Raw genomic sequence first — 19454 nt, forward strand, 5'->3', positions numbered from 1 at the left:
GACGGGCCGTTCTCCCAGAGGGAATCAGGTGTGTGTTGGCAGCAGCCTGGCCGATGGGGTGAGGAAAAGGGGGATGGAGGGAGGGAGGGAGGAAGGGGTAGGAAAGGAAGGAGGGAAGAGGGGAGTGAGGAAGGACGAAGGGAGAGAGGGAAGGAGGGAGGGAAGGAGGAAGGAAGGAGAGAAGAAAGGAAGGAAATACCAACGAAATGGCCTCTTCCCTAGCAGCAAGGGCCCTGCCCAGGATGCCCTGGATTTCTTCACCTGCAGAGGTTTTCATTATCCAGAATTGGAAATCTAACCTGTCTTCACTTCTATTTAAACTTTTTATTTTCGAAATGTCAAGCATATAAAGTCAGAATGTCCCTTCACTCAGCTCCATCAATCATCAATGTTCGCCCATTTAACACCTGCACTACCATCTCTGTCCCAACTCGCTTATTTTATTTATTTATTTATTTATTTATTTATTTATTTATTTATTTATTTGAGACAGGTTCTTGCTCTGTCACCCAGGCGGGAGTGCAGTGGCGTAGTCATGCCTCACTGCAGCCTAATCTCCTGGGCTCAAGAGATCCTTCTGCCTCAGCCCCACAAGTAGCTGGGACTACAGGTGTGTGCCACCACACCTGGCTAATATTTTAATTTTTTGTAGAGATGGGGTCTCCTGATGTTACTCTGGCTGGTTTTGAACTCCTGGGCTCAAGTGATCCTCCTACCTCTGCCTCCCAAAGTGCTGGGATTACAGACATGAGCCACTGCGACTGAACCAACTTCGTTATTTTTTTACAGTTAAAAAAAATAAGAATTATAGGCATTGAGGAGCTCATATGGGTACACCCATGAATAGATACATCCATACCTGTAACAAGCGATATCAGTGTTCTATTGACTACCCTAAGCTTTTGGTCAGCGTAGGGGTTCTTGGGTTTTCCCAGGACTGAATTCTGATGAAAATATATCTGGAGTAATGATTTCTTCCATTTTGCATTTTCTGTCCGGACTCCAGGGTTTTAAGCCGAGCTCCGGGACTGTCCAGGAACTGAATTTCCGGAGCAGCAAGAACGTGTGGGGTTACTTCAGCGTGGCCGCTACTGGAGGCCTGCACGAGTTTGCGGATTCCCAATTTGGGCACTGCTTCTCCTGGGGAGAGAACCGGGAAGAGGCCATTTCGTCAGTATCTCCTTCCTTCCTTCCTTCCTTCCTTCCTTCCTTCCTTCCTTCCTTCCTTCCTTCCTTCCTTCCCTCTCTCCCTTCTTCCCCTCTTCCTTCCCTCTTTCTCCTCCCTTCCTTTCTTCTTCCCTCCCTCTCAGCCTTTCTCCTTTTTTCCTTCCTTCCCTTCCATTGCCTTCCTGCCTTCCTTTCTTCCTTCCTTCCTCCCCTCTTCTGCCCTCCCCTCCCCTTCCATCCCTTCCCCTCCCTTCCTTCCTCCCGTCCTTCCTCCTCCCCTTCCCTTCTTTCCTCCCTTCCTCCCTCCTTCCTTCTTTTCCTGACTTCTCTGCTTTCCTCCCCCTCCCTTTCTTCCTCCTTCTTTCCTTCCTTCCTTCTTTCCCTCCCTTCCCACTTCCTCCTTTTCCCAATTCCTTCCTTTAAGAAATGAAACGGTCCCCTGGGGCTTCAGATACAGTAGCATTTCAGGAGACCAAGAAAAGTAAATCACAGGGTAGGCCCCATTTAAAATACCCTGTGCTTGAAGTTCAAGATCAAAGCCTGCCCTTTTTTTCCTTTATTGAAGATCCACAAAGTAAAATAAGTGCACCAAGGTCATTTGGTCTTGAGCTTATAAGAGTTCTAGCTTGAAGGAGATCTAAAGATTGTTCTAGGAGATACCCAAAGTGTAAAAGGTGCTAAGTACCATAGCTGAAGAAAGGGGGAGGGAAACTCCTTTACATTTAAACCTTATCAGTAGTTCCCTAATGGGTTGTATTTCACACCGAAGACTAAATTTTAAGGAGTGTGTCCTGCTGTGAACCACCCACCACTCTGAGGCCTGTGACAGCAGCCCCATGTCCCCAGCTCAGCCAAGTCCTCCCATACTTGTGATAGTTTCTGCAGAGCTGAGAAGCCCACATTGACAGAGGGACCCCCAAATTCTGACACACCATCTCCGACACTTCTCCTGGCTTGACATGGGTGTGGAAAGGTATAAAACTAGTTTACTTTGTAATTAAATGTTTTTGTGTGGGTAACTGCCCTTCGGAGTGAAAAAATCCCAAAGGCCTTAGCATTAAAATCTGACGTGGGGCACTTAGCCACGAATTAAATTGAGTTGGGCAGTTTTGATGATCAGGTTTTCTTTGCCAGCTTAGAATAATTAATTTTAATCATGCTTAGTGAAAAATCAAGATCCTTGAAGTTTATGGAAGATTGCAGCAAAAAGGGCTTACTTAATAGGAGTAGGCGGAAGACAGGTCAGCCAGCCCAGACCCCTCCGAGTGAAGTGACCTGTGGCTTGTCACATGCTACGAGTGGACCAACCGCAACTTCAACAGAACTCACAGGCAGAAATTCCAGCTTTTCTTATTGCTGTTAGTGAGAGTCCAGTAGGGGGATCAACTGTCCTCGTTTTCCTGGCACCGGTTTCTCAGGTTGAAGGACTTCTCAGTGCTAAAATGGGGACCACCCCAAGGAAACTGGGACAAGTCACTCACCCGTGAGACCAGCGGGTTAACTCTCATACCCAGCTTCCAGACCCACAGCTGACTTTTCATGGCCTATGGATACCCTTGTATGACCTTACTGGGTCTTCATTTTCTCACCCCCAAAATGGGGTCATCAGTGTCCTTCCCCGTTACCTGCTGACAGCACACAGGATGCTGCAAGACATGAAAGCTTACTCGGCCAGGCACAGTGGCTCATGCCTGTAATCCCAGCACTTTGGGAGGCCAAGGCGGGCAGATCACTTGAAGCCAGGAGTTCAAGACCAGCCTGGCCAACATGACGAAACCCCGTGTCTACTAAAAATACTGAAATTAGCCGGGCATCCTGGTGGCCATCTGTAATCCCAGCTACTCGGGAGGCTGAGGCAGGAGAATTGCTTGAACCTGGGAGATGGAGGTTGCAGTGAGCTGAGATCGTGCCATTTCACTCCAGCCTGGGCAACAAGAGTGAAGCTCCGTCTCAAAAAAACAAAAAAAAGAAAAAAAGAAAGCTTTCTCTCCCAGAAGAAGAGGTGTTCAGATACCTGCCCACACTCACCATGAATTCATAGGGCTCAGCTTCCCGAGTAGCTGGGACTATAGGCGCGTCCCACCACGCCCGGCTAGTTTTGTATTTTTAGTAGAGACGGGATTTCTCCATGTTGGTCAGGCTGGTCTCGAACTCCTGACCTCAAGTGATCCACCCGCCTTGGCCTCACAAAGTGTTGGGATTACAGGCGTGAGCCACTGCACCTGGCCTGAGGTTTAGCTATTTGAACTGGTGCTCTTGGAGATTTGGAGTCTGTGTGTTGGGGAGAGGCAGCCATGGGGCCCACCAGGCCCCTGAGCCGGGTGACAGTGCCGTCCATCTGCAGGTGCACCCCACACACACCAGGCAGAGCAGCTGTGTGGAAGGTGAGAGGGTGGCACCAGCTCTGGGGACAGGAGATTTGAATAGGTCAAGGGAGAGACAGAGGCGGTGACCGATTTTCCCTTTGTTTTTTTTTCTTCTTTTAAGAGATAGCGTCTCACTGTGTTGCCCAGGCTGGAGTGCAATGGTGTGATCATAGCTCACTGCAGCCTCAAACTCCTGGGCTCAAGCGATCCTCCCCCTTTAGCCTCCTGAGTAGCTGGGACTACAGTCACATACCATCACGCTTGGCTGATTTTAAAATTTTTGTAGAGATGGCGTCTCATTATGTTGCCCAGGCTGGTCTTGAACTCATGCCTCAAGCAATCCTCCCGCCTCAGACTCCCAAAGCAGTGGGATTACAGGCATGAACCACCATGCCTGGCTGGTTCTTTCTCTACTAATCATTAACTATTATAGTCAATAATTATAACAATAATAACTAATCACGTTCATTGTAGTTAACATTTATTGATCAGTGACCATGTGCATTACATGGATTGTCTCATTTCAATTCTCGAACACCCTCATGAAGTCAGGGCTATTTCCCCATTTTCCATATGAGGAAACTGAGGCCCAGAGTTCTCAAGTCACTTGGCCAAGATTAGCCAGGCAGTAAACCCTGGCGCTGATTCAATGCACTGGCTGTGTCAGTCAGAGCCCTCTCTTAACTCTTCTTTTTTTTTTTTTTTGGAGACAGAGTCTTGCTCTGTCGCCCAGCCTGGAGTGCAGTGGTGTGATCTCAGCTCCCTGCAACCTCTGCCTCCCAGATTCAAGTGATTCTCCTGCCTCAGCCTCCTGAGTAGCTGAGATTACAGGCGTCCTCCACCATGCTGAGCTAAGTTTTGTATTTTTGGTAGAGATGGGGTTTCGCCATGTTGGCCAGGCTGGTCTTGAACTCCTGACCTCAAGTAATACACCTACCTCAGCCTCCCAAAGTGCTGGGATTACAGGCGTGAGCCACCACACCCGGCCACTCCTGTGCTTTTCCAGTTCTCTGAATCACATCATTGCAGCAACTCTGTTGATGTATGCATGAATTTGGAAAATGATCCATGTGCCTTTCCCTTCAAGGAACATGGTGGTGGCTTTGAAGGAACTGTCCATCCGAGGCGACTTTAGGACTACCGTGGAATACCTCATTAACCTCCTGGAGACCGAGAGCTTCCAGAACAACGACATCGACACCGGGTGGTTGGACTACCTCATTGCTGAGAAAGTGCAGGTAGGGAGTGAGCTGCCTGTGTCTCCCCTCTGGATGGCCGAGACCTCGGCTTCCTGAGGATACTGAAGTGCATTTTCTCCTAGGCGGAGAAACCGGATATCATGCTTGGGGTGGTATGCGGGGCCTTGAACGTGGCCGATGCGATGTTCAGAACGTGCATGACAGATTTCTTACACTCCCTGGAAAGGTAGGGGCTGTGGCAGTTCCCTTCTGCTTTTGTGATATGTGTTAGCGGCTTAGGAGGCTGAATCTGTCTCCTTTATTTGTGTGGCCAGTTAGTCACCAGGCAATTGGTGAGTCTCTCCTCCGGTCTTGCCTCTGGGAAATTCCTCTACAGATCAACCTAGGCTACCCTTGAAGAGGCTGTGGGTTAGGGAATGGGATTCTCGAGGCCAGGGTGGCAGTCAGTGAACAGGCTGTTGTGTACGGATCCATGCTGACTTGTGTAAGGTACATCATAATAGTCAGGAGTTCTGAGTTCAAGGAGGTGGATTTGGGAAGCAAAGCGGCTTAAAGGTCATCTCTACAAGCGGGTGCATTCCCAGACCCTCACCAGAATCAGAGGGTCATCATGAAATGGACCAGAATGGAAAGCAACCAGGCGATCTCTGTTAGGATAGGCCGGGGTTTCTCAGCCTCAGCACCATTAACATTTTGTGCTGGATGCTTTTTTTTTGTTTGGGAACCTGTCCCGTGCATCATAGGATGTTAGCAGCATTCCTGGCCTCTACCCACTAAATGCCAGGAGCAGCCCTTCCCTCTGAGTCATGACAATCAAATATATCTCCAGACATTGCCCAATGTCCCAGGGTTAGGAGTAGAATAATCACCCCCAGTTGAGAACTGCTGCAAGAGGCAAAGGAACTATCAAAAAGAAAATAAAAGGATAAACTTTTTTTTTTTTGAGACAGAGTCTTGCTCTGTCATCCAGGCTATCACCCAGGCTAGAGTGCAGTGGTATGATCACAGCTCACTGCAGCCTGGACTTCCTGGGCTCCAGTGATCTGCCCACCTCAGCCTCCCAAGTAGTTGGGACCACCGGTGCATGCCATCATGCCTGGCCAATTTTTTTAACTTTTTGCATAGATGGGGTCTCACTATGTTGCCCCCCAGGCTGGTCTCAAACTCATGGCCTCAAGCAATCCTCCTGCCTCAACTCTGAAAGTGCTGAGATTATAGGCGTGAGCCACTGTGCCTGGTAAGAAATGTTTTTAGTGTTTGGTTATGCTTTTGAACGGTAGTAGAATCACAGTCCCTGCTCTGGTTTCTTTCATAAGCCGAAGGCAGGATCCCATATGTGAAATTTTTCCAAGAGACCGTTATGGATTTTGCTCCTGAAAAGCCTTTGTAAGATTTCAAATCCCTCAGCAAGTGCTGATTCCTTAAGTTCTAAGCAATATCAGGCTGCTCAGGGTGATTCAGGTTCTGTGCGTGACTTTTAATCAGATTTAGCCTTTTTTTTTTTTTTTTTTGAGACATAGTCTCGCTCTGTCACACAGGCTGGAGTGCAATGGTGTGATCTCAGCTCACTGCAACCTCCGCCTCCTGCATTCAAGCAATTCTTGTGCCTCAGCCTCCCGAGTAGCTGGGATGACAGCTGCATGCCACCACGCCCGGCTAATTTTTGTATTTTTAGTAGAGATGGGGTTTTGCCATGTTGGCCAGGCTGGTCTCGAACTCTTGGCCTCAAGTGATGTGCCTGCCTCAGCCTCCCAAGGTGCAGGGATTACAGGCGTGAGCCATTGCGCCCAGCCCAGGCTTAGCATTTTTAGTGCAGTCAGGTTTGCTGATGCAGAGAGTTGCGTAATTTTTTTAAATGCAAGGGATGGCTGTGGAGTTCTCAGTCCCTCCCAAGGCTGACCACAACCCTGTCTTTTCTTTCAGGGGCCAGGTCCTCCCAGCGGATTCACTACTGAACCTCGTAGATGTGGAATTAATTTACGGAGGTGTTAAGTACATTCTCAAGGTAAATGCCCCCGTGCCTCTCCGATGTCTCCAACACTCTGCAAGCTTCAGGGAGTTTCTTTCTTCCATGAACCATCCCTGGAGTGGATTTGCTCATGCTTGGGTTTGAGCTCTTGTGTTCCTCGGGAATCCCCATGTAGTCCGTGACCTTGACACCTAAACACTTTGGCTTTTAGAACATGTAGGGCTGTGCATTCTGCAGAGGGCACAATGGAGCGTGGATAAGTTTCCTGTAGCTGCGGTAACAAGGTACCACAAACTGGTTTAAACCAACAAAAATTTATTGTGTCCCAGTTCTGGAAGCCAAGTCTAAAATCGAGGTGTTGGCGGGCCGTGGTCTCTCTGAAGGCGCTGGGGCAGGATCTGTTCCGAGCCTCCCCAGCTTCTGGTGCTGCTGGCAGTCCCTGGTGATTTTTGGCTTGTGGATGCCTTGCCCCAGTCTCTGTCTCTGTTTTTTTTTTTTGTTGTTGTTGTTGTTGTTTTTTCAAACGGAGCCTCACTCTGTCACCCAGGCTGGAGTGCAGTGGCTCAACCTTGGCTCACTGCAACCTCCATCTCCCAGGTTCAAGCAATTCTTCTGTCTCAGCCTCCTGAGTAGCCGAGATTATAGGCATATGCCACCATGCCTGGCTAATTTTTGTATTTTTAGTAGAAATGGGATTTCACCATGTTGCCTAGGCTGGTCTTGAACTCCTGAGCTCAAGTGATCTGCCCTGCCTTGGCCTCCCAAAGTGCTGGGATTACAGGCATGAGCCACCCCCCAACCTCTGCCTCTGTGTGTGCATGTGTGTGTGTGTGTGTGTGTGTGTGTGTGTGTGTGTTTACATTGGCCTCCCAAAGTGCTGGGATTACAGTCATGAGCCACCCCCTGGCCTCTGCCTCTGTGTGTGTGTGTGTGTGTGTGTGTGTGTGTGTGTGTGTTCACATTATCTTCCATGACTGTGTCTTTGTGTCTCTTCTCTTGTAAGAACACCAGTCACATTGGATTTAGCGTCCACCCTAATCCAGTATGATTTCATCTTAATTACATCTGCAGAGACCTCATTCCAAATAAGGTCACATTCCAAGGTTCCAGGAAGGCCATGAATTTTGGAGGATATTATTCAACCCCTATAGAATGTGAGCTGGGCCTTTGCTGAGACAGAATAGTGGGCCCGGGTCTGTTTCCAGGGGCTCTGAGGCTGGTTTTGTTCTCTGTCTCTGCACCACGTGTAGATTACTGGCATCTTCCCTGGTTTACTACTGGAGTCCCTGGGGCTTATTCCGGTTGCTCTCCTCTGTCAGAAGTGCCTAGTTGCCCTTTGTGGGCCATCCAAGGTCAATTCAACAGTGTCAGAAATGTCTCTGAGATGCACAGGTAGGGGGTGAGGCTTGGTGTCCTAGCCATGGTGTTCTGGGCCCAGGGTCCTTGTTGGGGTGAGCCGGCTGTGGCATCAGTGCCCCGGGTTCCAATGCAATGGCAGGAGGCTGTGTCCCCTGTAAGCCCAGGCCTGCCCAGTACTTCCCAGCCTCACATTGTCAGGAGGGAAAAGAGGACAGAGTTTGAGTCTGCTTATGAGACAGAATTTTTGTTTTCTTTAATTAGTACTTTCTATTTAATATTGATGAGCATGAGTAGAACTCACAACTTTGGAGATTTGGGGGCTTTAGTTCAACTAAACCTGTGTGTCATTGATCAGGGTATGCTTTCACAATCATCCTCCTTTGCCCCTAATGCCTCTTGGCTACCTTTGGGGACCTAGCTGCCCCCAACTTGATTTTAAATGTCACATATGCACAATGTAGAAAATTTCAAAATTTCAAGCGAGCATAAAAAATCAGGAAAACAAATCCATCATGTGCTAATGCCTAGAGGTAATCCTGGTAAACATTTTAGCAAATCTTTGTTATATATTTTTTTCCTTTTGCATTAATTTTACAAAGTTGAGATCATGGTGCAAATGCAGTTTTACAGCTTTGATATGATCATGGCATAAAGTTTTCCATGTTATTAACAAGTTTTTTTTTTAACACGAGTCTAAACTCATGTCTGTGGCACTGTCTCCCTGAACTTTTAATAGTGATGGGAACATTCCCTATCTTCTGTGTCCAAGATGCTGCCCTTATGTGGTGACTGAGAGCTTGAAAGTGGCCAGTGTGACTGAGGAACTGAATTTTACATTTTATTTCATTTTGATCAGTTTAAATAGCTGTGTGTGGTTAGGGGTCACCGTATCAGACAGGGCAGATCTAAAGTGTTCCATTGCAAGGTTGTTGGCTTGCTAATTTTGTTCTAATTTTTGTTGTTATTACAAATAATGCTGCAATACACATTCCTCTATTTCTTGCTGCCTTGTGTCATAAACTGTGAATTTTATAGGTTGAAGGCCCTTTAGGGTGTGTGTTTTCTGAGAGAAAACTGAACTGAAGTACCAGATGGGGCAGGCGCTCTTCCTGGAGGGAGATGTAGTGCTGGGGCCAGGGCTTGGCTGTGTCTCTCTCACGTGTCCCAAAGCTCTTGTGTGCTCCTGGGCAGAGCTGGGTCTGGGAAGCAGAGCCCTAGTCCATGTCCAGGTGTCTTAGTCCATTTGGGCTACTGTCGTAAAATACCAAAGACTGAGTGGCTTCTAAACCACACACTGAATTTCTCACAATTCTCTAGGCTGGGAAGGTCAATATCAAGATACTGGCAGATTTGGTATCTACTGAGGACCCACCTTTCGTTTCATAGATGCTGTCCTTTCGCTATGTCCTTAGATGTCAGAAATGGGCCACAGAGCTCTACAGGGGATCTTTTATAAGGGCACTAATCTCTTTTACAAGGGCCCCACCTTCATGATCTCATCACCTCCCAAAGGCTCCACCTCCTAAAGCCATCACATTAGGGGTTGGGATTTCAACTTATGAATTTTGCGGGGACACAAACGTTTAGTCCATTGCACCTGGCTGCTGGTGGAGTCTCCAGGGCTGCCTCACACAGAGTGAGAGCTGGAGACAGGAATCAGAAGGGAGTCTCTAGCCCCAGAGGACATGCAGTTGCCAACACGGCTTGACAGGGACTATATAAGCGGCCATTAGCCTACCCACAGGGCAGGTGTGGCTCGCTACTCCAGGCCTCCCCCAGCCCCATCAGCAGCTGCTCCCTTGGCAGGAATTGTGAGGGCTGGGTCCGAGAGACGGGGGTGTTCATCTTGGCCCTCTGTGGTGGACAACCAGCTCTTGTTTGTTGTTAGCGGGGCCCAGCAGTGCTCTGGGAGCACATCCTGAACCCAGGCGGTGACAAGGGGCTTGTCCCCACAGGTGGCCCGGCAGTCTCTGACCATGTTCGTTCTCATCATGAATGGCTGCCACATCGAGATTGATGCCCACCGGCTGAATGATGGGGGGCTCCTGCTCTCCTACAATGGGAACAGCTACACCACCTACATGAAGGAAGAGGTTGACAGGTGCGTGGGGGTGCGAGTCCCACTGTGGGCTGGGCATGCACAGCTCTCTGTCCTAGGCATGGAAAACACAGCACTGGCCTGTGTGCAGGTCCAAGGGTCTTAGAGAAGGTGCCTTTCTGGTAAATTCTGGGGGTGTGCAGAGAAGTTAATCTCTTGGTTGGAATTCTGTGCAACTGGCAGATATTTAGGGGAGGATCCTAGGAGGCCCTTTTCTAGTAACCTGGTTGGTGGGGATTCAGAGCTGAACGGGACATGACTCCCAGCTCTGTGGCCTGCGAGGTGTGTGACCAGGTGCCTGCTGCCTGTGCATCTGGGCTCTGGCATCCACCCAGTTAGTGCGGCAGTGACCTACTAAGCTCCTCCGTACCAGGCGCTGTGCTGGGTGTTGGGATAGCATTCTGGGTGTGACTCGTGGAGCTTCCAGCCCATTCGGGAAGATGACACACTGAACAAACAGATAGTGGCAGGAAAGGGTGTCGTGTACCTGACGGGTAACACACAAGATGCCCTGGAAGCTCTTAGCACAGGGGCTTGTGAGATAGTGAGATAGGCCCCAAAGATGCCCCGCCTCCAGTGTGTCTGATCACCCCGAGATCACGCAATGAAACAGACCCCAGCCAAGGTGATGAAAGGGGAGGGGATGTCTGAAAAGCTCCAGTTAGAGAGTGGAGACTCTCTTCTCAATCCTCAATGTTTTGGAAGAAGGAAGACTAGGTTTATGCCAGAGTAATATTTTGTTATCTCCTTTTTTTTCTTTTTGAGAGAGGGTCTCGCTCTGTCACCCAGGCAGGAGTGCAGTGGCACCATCATGACTCACTGCAGCCTCAACTTCCCTGGGCTCCGAGATGATCCCCCCACCTCAGTCCCCCAAGTTGCTGGGACTACGGGCATGTGCCACCACGCCTGGCTAATTTTTGTATTTTTTGTAGAGACGGGGTTTTGCCATGTTGCTCAGGCTGGTCTTGAACTTCTGGACTCAAGCAGTTGGCCAGCCTTGGCCTCCCAAAGTGCTGGGATTGCAGTCATGAGCCACTGCACCCTGCCTGTTATCTCTTTTTTAACCCACGTTCTATCTGCCAAGAATGTTCAGGATTACTATAGGTTCTACTCTCCCCAGTTCAAAGGTTAAGACTTTGAATCAGTAAATATTTGTTGAATCATATCCACTGATTGATTTTTCTGTGTCAGGCCCTGTTGGAAGTATGTCAGTAAAAGGAACCAGCTTTCAGCCAAAAAAGGGTCACATCCTTTTTATTATTTTATTTTATTTTAAAGACTGGTTCTTACTCTGTTGCCCAGCCTGGGCAAGAGTGAGACCCTGATCGCTTGAGTCCAGAAGTTTGAGACCAGTCTGGGCAACATGGCAAAACCCCATCTCTATAAAATACAATGATTAGCCAAGTGTGGTGGCGTGTGCCTGTAGTCCCAGCAATTTAGGGGGTTGTGATGGGAGGATCACCTGACCCCAGGGAGGTCAAGGCTTCAGTGAACCATGATTGTGCCACTGCACTCCAGCCTGGGTGACAGAGTAATTATAGCTCACAATAGCCTCAAACTCCTGGGCTCAAAGGATTCTCCTGCCTCAGCCTCCTGAGTAGCTGGGACTACTGGCATATGCTACCACGCCCAGCTATTTTTTTTTTTTTATTTTTTGTAGAGGCAGGGTCTCACTGTGTTGCCCAAGCTTGTCTTGAACTCCTGGCCTCAAGCCATCCTCCCACCTCGGCCTCCCAAAGAAAGCATCACAGCCTTGGCCAGGCACAGTGGCTCACGTCTGTAATCCCAGCACTTTGGGAGGCTGAGGCGGGCGGATCATGAGGTCAGGAGATCGAGACCATCCTGGCTAACATGGTGAAACCCCATCTTTACTAAAAATACAAAAAAAAATTAGCTGGATGTGGTGGTGGGCGCCTGTAGTCCCAGCTATGCGGGAGGCTGAGGCAGGAGAATGGCGTGAACCCGGGAGGCGGAGCTTGCAGTGAGCCGAGATCGCGCCACTGCACTCCAGCCTGGGCAACAGAGCGAGACTCCGTCTCAAAAAAAAAAATAAAATAAGAAAGCATCACAGCCTTTTTGTTCACCCACCTCACTCTCAGTGTCTCTGAGATAACTATCAACTGCCACCCTTTGGGAATGTAGAGGGTACACTCCCCCTTTAGGAAGGGGAAATGGTATTGAAAGCCGGACTAGGGCTTGCTGAGTTGGTAGTCCTCATCAGTCTCCCTACCCGACTCCTCCTCTCTCCCAGTTACCGAATTACCATCGGCAATAAGACGTGTGTGTTTGAGAAGGAGAACGATCCTACAGTCCTGAGATCCCCCTCGGCTGGGAAGCTGACACAGTACACAGTGGAGGATGGGGGCCACGTTGAGGCTGGGAGCAGCTACGCTGAGATGGAGGTGACTGCAGAGCCGGCCGTGGGGAATCCTGAACCCTCAAACTCCCACTCTTCTGGCTTTGTCCCATGTCTGAACAAACAGGCCTACCTCTCCCCTTGACCACTGTCTGCAAATTTCTAAGGGAATCAGTCTGTGGATTTCAGCCAAATCCCCTGAAGTATTCAAAGAAAAAAACTTCAGGCTGGGCGTGGTGGTTCACGCCTGTAATCCCAGCACTTTGGGAGGCTGAGGCGGGCGGATCACGAGGTCAGGAGATCAAGACCATCCTGGCTAACATGGTGAAACCCCGTCTCTACTAAAAATACAAAAAATTAGCCGGGCATGGTGGCAGGCGCCTGTAGTCCCAGCTATGCAGGAGGCTGAGGCAGGAGGATGGCGTGAAGGCAGGAGGATGGCGTGAACCCAGGAGGCGGAGCTTGCAGTGAGCTGAGATGGCGCCACTGCACTCCAGCCTGAGCGACAGAGAAAGACTCCGTCTCAAAAAAAAAAAAAAAAAACTTCAAAAAATGCACATCTCCCCAGGAATGAGTAAGAAGGTTAATGACAGAGAAACTGGGTACAGAGAATATGGAAACTCTCTGTACTATTTACATAACTGTTCTATAAACTGTTGTGTAAATCAGTTTCCTTGATTTCTTTATTTTTTTTTTGAGACAAGTCTCAGTCTGTCACCCGGGCTGGAGTGTAGTGGCGTGATCTTGTCTCACTGCAAACTCCGCCTCCCAGGCTCAAGTGATCCTCCCACCTCAGCCTTCCAAGTAGTTGGGATTACAGGCACGCACCAACATGCCTGGCTTAATTTTTTGTATTTTTGGTAGTGACAGGGTTTCGTCATGCTGCTCAAGCTGGTCAAATACCTGAGCTCAGGTGATCCACCTGCTTTGGCCTCTGAAAGTGCTGGGATTGCAGGCATGAGCCACTGCACACAGCCAAGAATTGATTGATAATAACAATTATTGTCAATCAATGATTAAATATTAAATATTGACCCCAGCAATAATTGAAAGGTGTTAAGCCAACACTTGCAAAGCCATAACCATGTGGCAGGTGCTGTTCTAAGCATTTTACTGATCTTTATTTTTTAACCTTCCCAGCAAATATATGAGATGGGCACAAATGTGATCCCCATTTTATAAAAAAGCTGGGCCCAGGCAGGCTAAGAAACTCACTGGAGGTCACACAAAGCCAGGATTCAAACCCGGAAAATAACAACAATAATAGCAATGAAAATACATCAATAATAGTAGCTACTGCATATTGACCTGCTGCATGGCAGGATCTGCATCTCATTCAATCCTCGTAAGAGCCCTAAGAGGTGAAACTGTCATTATTCCTCATTTTACACTTGGGGAAACTGAGGCTCAAGGAGGGGAGCCACTTCTGAAGATCACAGAGGTATTGGTGGGGGCAGTTCCTGGGATTCTAGTCCAGGCCTGGCTGACTTGGGTGCCCAAGCTGTGAACTGCCAAGCAAGAGAGATAGCACAGTCCTGGCTCTGCGGCCGCCACCATGGTGACAAAGCTCATGCCACGCACGTATCCAGACATTCGGGAAAATTAAAAGGGCTGATGAGCAGATTCTTCATTTCACAGAGTGTTCCCTGAGGGTTTTCTAAGTGCCTTTAATAAAACAAACTGTTCACAAAATGTTTGATTTATGCAGTACGTTTTAGGAACGTGTATATGAACCACTCTATGTAATATGATTTAACAGTATTTCTAAGAGAAGACTCCCCCTTTGGAAATAAACATCAGTTTCCATATCTGTAAAATGGGCATCATAAACACCTCCTTGGCTGGCTTTGCAGATTGAATGGCACTTGCCTGGCACTTAGCAGGCTTCCAGTAAAGGTCACTTTTCCTTGTACCTTCTGCCTGAACACTACCCAGGGAGTCATTCTGGCGCGTCCCTGGGTAGTGTCCCGGCGCGTCCCTGCTCCGGCATCACTAGTTCTGGGTGGCTCTGGGTGTCAATCCCGGTGGGCTCTGTACTATTTCTTCTTTTTACGAAATAGGTGATGAAGATGATCATGACCCTGAACGTTCAGGAAAGAGGCCGGGTGAAGTACATCAAGCGTCCAGGTGCCGTGCTGGAAGCAGGCTGCGTGGTGGCCAGGCTGGAGCTCGATGACCCTTCTAAAGTCCACCCGGTATGTGGCTCCACGGCCCAAGTGCTCTGGCTGGTGCAGGTGCACTCGTGACCTCCACTGGTTCAGTGAGACAGGTGGACTCAAGGCTGGTAGCGCTTCTCCTGCCTCCACCTGCAGACAGAGCTCGTCGCAGCAGCCACCGTGATGGTGCAGAAACACAAGGAAGCCGCGCCCTGCTTTACTCAGATCCCTCTCTGTGGCTCTCCATCCTGCTTAGAGCAAAACCCAATTTCTGCCAGTGACCTGCAAGACCCCAAATGAGCTAGCTGTTCCCTGCTTTCTTCTCTGCCTTTCTCCTCTGTCCCTCTCCCCATCACTTACTTGAATACACTGGACCCCTCCCTCCTGGCGGCTGTCCTCTCTGCTGTGAAGGACCTACCCCAGACTTTGCAGGGATCACTCTCAACTCCTGGGAGCTTTGATTCCAATGTCTTCCCCTCAATGAGGGCATTCTTGACCATTGACCACCTTTTCTTTTTAATAGACTTAATTTTTAGTATAGTTTTAGATGTACAGAACAGTTATGTAAGTAGTGCAGAGTTCCCATATTCTCTGTGGCCAGTTTCCCTGTCATTCATTTAATTATCATTCAATTAATTGTTAGTATTATTATTATTATTCATTTTTTTTTGAGACAGACTCTCGCTCTGTCGCCCAGGCTGGAGTGCAGTGGCGTGATCTCGACTCACTGCAACCTCTGCCTCCCTGGTTCAAGTGATTCTTCTGCCTCAGCCTCCTGAGTAGCTGGGGATTATAGGTGTGTACCACCATACCAGCTAATTTTTGTATTTTTAGTAGAGACAGGGTTTCACCATGTTGGCCATGCTGGTCTTGAACTCCTGACCTCAGGTGATCCACCCTCCTCAGCCTCCCAAAGTGATGGGATTACAGGTGTGAGCCACTGCACCTGGCCTCAATTAATTACTATTGTTATCAATTTACTGTTATTAATTTAACTATTATTGCACGAGCATGGTCCATTTGTCATATTTAATGAACCAATATCGATATATTAGGTATTATTGTTTAAGAATAATAATTAACTTTAAAATTTAACTATTATTGCAATAATATGGTCCATTTGTCACATTTAATGAACCAATATTGGTACATTATTGTTCACTCAGATTTCTTTAGTTCATTTTTTAAAAATTGTGGTTAAATACACATAACAAAATTTACCATCTTAGCCATTTTTAAATGTTCTCTTGAGCAGTATTAAATCCATTCACATTGTTGCACAGCCATCACCATCATCCATCTCCAGCACTTGCAAAACTGAAACTTGACACTCGTTAAATGGTAACTCCTGAGTCCCTCCTCCCTCCAGCCCCTGGCAACCATTGTTCTGCTTTCTGTCTATCAATTCAACTCCTCTAGGTGCCTCATATAGGTGGAATCTATATAGTATCTGGCCTTTTGTGACTAGCTTATTTCATTTAGCGTAACGTCTCCAAGTTTCATCCATCTGATAGCATGTGGCAGAATTTCCCTGTTTTTTAAGGCTGCATAATATTCCCTTGTAGGGGTGAATCACATTTTGTTTATCCACCCATCCACTGATGGACACTTGGATTGTTTCTACCTGTTGGCTACTGTGAATAAGGCAGCTATGAACATGAGTGTACGATTTTCTTAGTTTTTACCTATTGTCCAGGATCCCATCCAGGTTAGCACATTGCATATAGTTGTCAGGTCTCTTTCAACCGCCCTTTAAAAAATTGTGCTCACCTCCACCCACGTGCAAACACACACCGTACCTCACAAAGATGATCTCACTGATTGTCTTGTTGCTTTATTATTTGGCCTCCAGGAGACTGGAAACACCGTGAGAACAGGGCCTTTTGGCTTTCTTGCTCGCTGCTGGGGCCCCAGTGCCAAAAACAGGGCCTAGTACATCAGAGGTGCTCTGTAAATATTGGTTGTTGGATGAACGTGTAGCAGGCAGGTGCCGGGGGCGTCCCCCTGTCCTCAGGACCACCAGGGGGTGCACCAGAGTGTCTGTCATGTGACCCTGAGCTCAGGCTCTTGGGGGCACCTCCAATTTAGATTCCTCTTAATTTGTCAAGCTGTGTCATTACCGATGAGTCCCTGAGGTCAAGGACTACTTTCGATGTCCACTGTTGTGATCCTGGGGCTTAGCACAGTGCTCGGAGCATAGTGGGTGCTCAGAAATAACAAGTCTTGATGAATGAATGAATGTTTACACCCTCCTAAGCAAGACTCTAAAATAATTAGTACATCTGTCCAGTAAAAAAAAAATTTAAAAATATCACATGGTCTCTTTTCTCCAGAGTATTCTATTAATTGTATTTGTTTTCTTTTTTAAAAAAATTATAATTATTATGGGTACATAATAGGTGTACATGTTTATGGGGGTACATGTGATCTTTTGGTATAGGCATACCGTCTAATAATCAAATCAGGGTGATTGGGGTATCTATTACCTCAAGCATTTTTCATTTCTTTGCGCTAGGAACATTCCAGTTCTACTCTTTTGGTTAGTTTAAAATGTACAGTCGATTTTAATTGACTGTAGAGTCACCCTGTTGTGCTATCAATACTATATCTTTTTTTTTTTTTTTTTTTTGAGATGGAGTTTTGCTCTTGTCGCCCAGGCTGGAGTGCAGTGGCGTGATCTCAGCTCACTGCAACCTCTACCTCCAGGGTTCAAGCAATTCTCGTGCCTCAGCCTCCTGAGTAGCTGGGACTTAAGGCACCTGCCACTATGCCCAGCTAATTTTTGTATTTTTAGTAGAGATGGGGTTTCACCATGTTGGCCAGGCTGATCTCGAACTCCTGACCTCAGGTGATCCGCCCACCTCAGCCTCCCAAAGTGCTGGGATTACAGGTGTGAGCCACCATGTCCAGCCTCAATACTAGATCTTATTCATTCTATCTAACTGGATTTTTGTACCCGTTAACCATCCCCACTCCCACCAGCCCCACTACCCTTCCCAGACCCTGGCAGCCATCACTCTACATTCTATTTCCATGAGTTTATTTGTTTTAATTTTCAGCTCCCACATATGAGTGAGAACATGCTAAATTTGTCTTTCTGCCCAGCTTATTTCACTTAATGTAATATCCTCCAGTTCCATCCATGTTGCTGCACATGACTGTTGTTACAATTCTTTTCATTAGTCTCTTTCTCTCTTTTTTTGAGACAGAGTCTCACTCTGTCACCCAGGCTGGTGTGCAGTGGCACAATCTCAGCTCACTGCAACCTCCACTTCCTGGGTTCAAGCAATTCTCCTGCCTCAGACTCCCGGGTAGCAAGTACCTGGGACCACAGGTTTGTGCGACCATGCCTGACTAATTTTTGTATTTTTAGTAGTGATGGGGTTTCACTAGGTTGGCCAGGCTGATCTTGACCTCCTGGCCTCAAGCGATCCGTCCACCTTGGCCTCCCAAAATGCTGGGATTACAAGGGTGAGCCACTGTGCCTGGCATCACTAGTCTCTTTAGGGAGTTCCCAAAGCTAGGAATAGACTGGGCCTTTTTGGATCAGTGGGCAGGTCTGGGTACCTGCACTGTGATTCCTTTCAGCACACATTTCCTGTGCTGGGTTAATGAGGCAGGGCCTGCCCACCCATTCCCTGCAGCCTCACATAAATGCTTGTGAGACAGACTGGGAGATCGAGTAACTTCACTTGGTGAGTGTAGTTAGAAGACCGCCCTTGGCCCTGGGCTGTGGGGACCCACATGGAGAAGCTATGATCAGATTGTGTAGGGGAAAACCCTCAAGTCAGCTTTTTTTTTTTTTGAGACAGAATTTCACTCCATTACCCAGGCTGGAGTGCAATGGCACAATCTTGGCTCACTGCAACCTCTGCCTCCCAGGTTCAACTGATTCTCCTGCCTCAGCCTCTGGAGTAGCTCGGATTACAGGCACGCGCCACCATGACTGGCTAATTTTTGTGTGTATTTTTAGTAGAGATGGGGTTTCACCATGTTGGCCAGGCTGGTCTCGAACTCTTGACCTCAGTTCATCCTCCCACCTCGGACTCCCAAAGTGCTGGGATTATGGTCATGAGCCACCGTGCCCGGCCAAGTCATCTCTTAAAAGGGGAGAAAAGCCTGCAGGGCTAGGGGTGGGGATGGGTGTGGGTGGAGGGGTAGAGGGTGGGCAGGAAACGGAGTGTTCTCTGCTGGGAGAACAGCACCCCAGCACTGTGCGTCATGCACAGTAGGTATTTGTAGAATGAATGAGTAGACGAATGAGCACATTTAGTCTGTGTTGCCCTCTAGGGAGCTTTTTATTTTTCCATGTGTTTACCTAAGACTGAATTTTTATGATTTACAAAAATCAGATGCATTTGTATGAGATGTTCATAAATTTTCATCCTACTGTGAGGTGTTTAACTTTGGGATTCAATAGAGAATGAAAATAAATACAGAACATGAGATTTGTTGATTATAAAGCAAAACAACAACAACAACAAACAGATCGGCCGGGCGCAGTGGCTCACCCCTGTAATCCCAGCACTTTGGGAGGCCAAGGCGGGCAGATCATGAGGTCAAGAGATCAAGACCATCCTGGCCAACATGGTGAAAACCTGTCTATACTAAAAATACAAAAATTAGCTGGGCGTGGTGGCCTGCGCCTGTAGTCCCAGCTACTCGGGAGACTGAGGCAGGAGAATTGCTTGAACCCGGGAGGCAGAGGTTGCAGTGAGCCGAGGTCATGCCACTGCAGTCCAGCCTGGGGACAATGCGAGTGTCTCAAAAAAAAAAAAAAAACA

The 19454-nt window shown here is 48.0% G+C and overlaps 1 protein-coding gene across 18 annotated transcripts in view; it reads left to right on the forward strand.

The window, feature by feature from the left end:
- Positions 1-19454, forward strand: part of ACACB (acetyl-CoA carboxylase beta) — a 157038-nt gene that overhangs the window by 75804 nt on the left and 61780 nt on the right. For 17 of the 18 annotated variants that reach the window (XR_007063072.1, XM_047428764.1, NM_001412734.1 and 14 more), the window contains 7 exons: positions 1007-1170; positions 4621-4771; positions 4855-4958; positions 6656-6737; positions 10016-10161; positions 12410-12560; positions 14575-14709. Coding sequence is in view for 17 of the 18 variants with exons in the window: in XM_047428764.1 (XP_047284720.1) it covers positions 1007-1170; positions 4621-4771; positions 4855-4958; positions 6656-6737; positions 10016-10161; positions 12410-12560; positions 14575-14709 (933 nt within the window). In the remaining variant the exon portion in view is untranslated. Of the gene's footprint in view, positions 1-1006; positions 1171-4620; positions 4772-4854; positions 4959-6655; positions 6738-10015; positions 10162-12409; positions 14207-14574; positions 14710-19454 lie in introns of those variants that run through there. The other variant, NM_001412742.1, reaches the window with a different exon arrangement.

The sequence above is a fragment of the Homo sapiens genome, chromosome 12 (genome assembly GCF_000001405.40).
Source record: "Homo sapiens chromosome 12, GRCh38.p14 Primary Assembly".
In the NCBI taxonomy this organism is placed as follows: domain Eukaryota; kingdom Metazoa; phylum Chordata; class Mammalia; order Primates; family Hominidae; genus Homo; species Homo sapiens.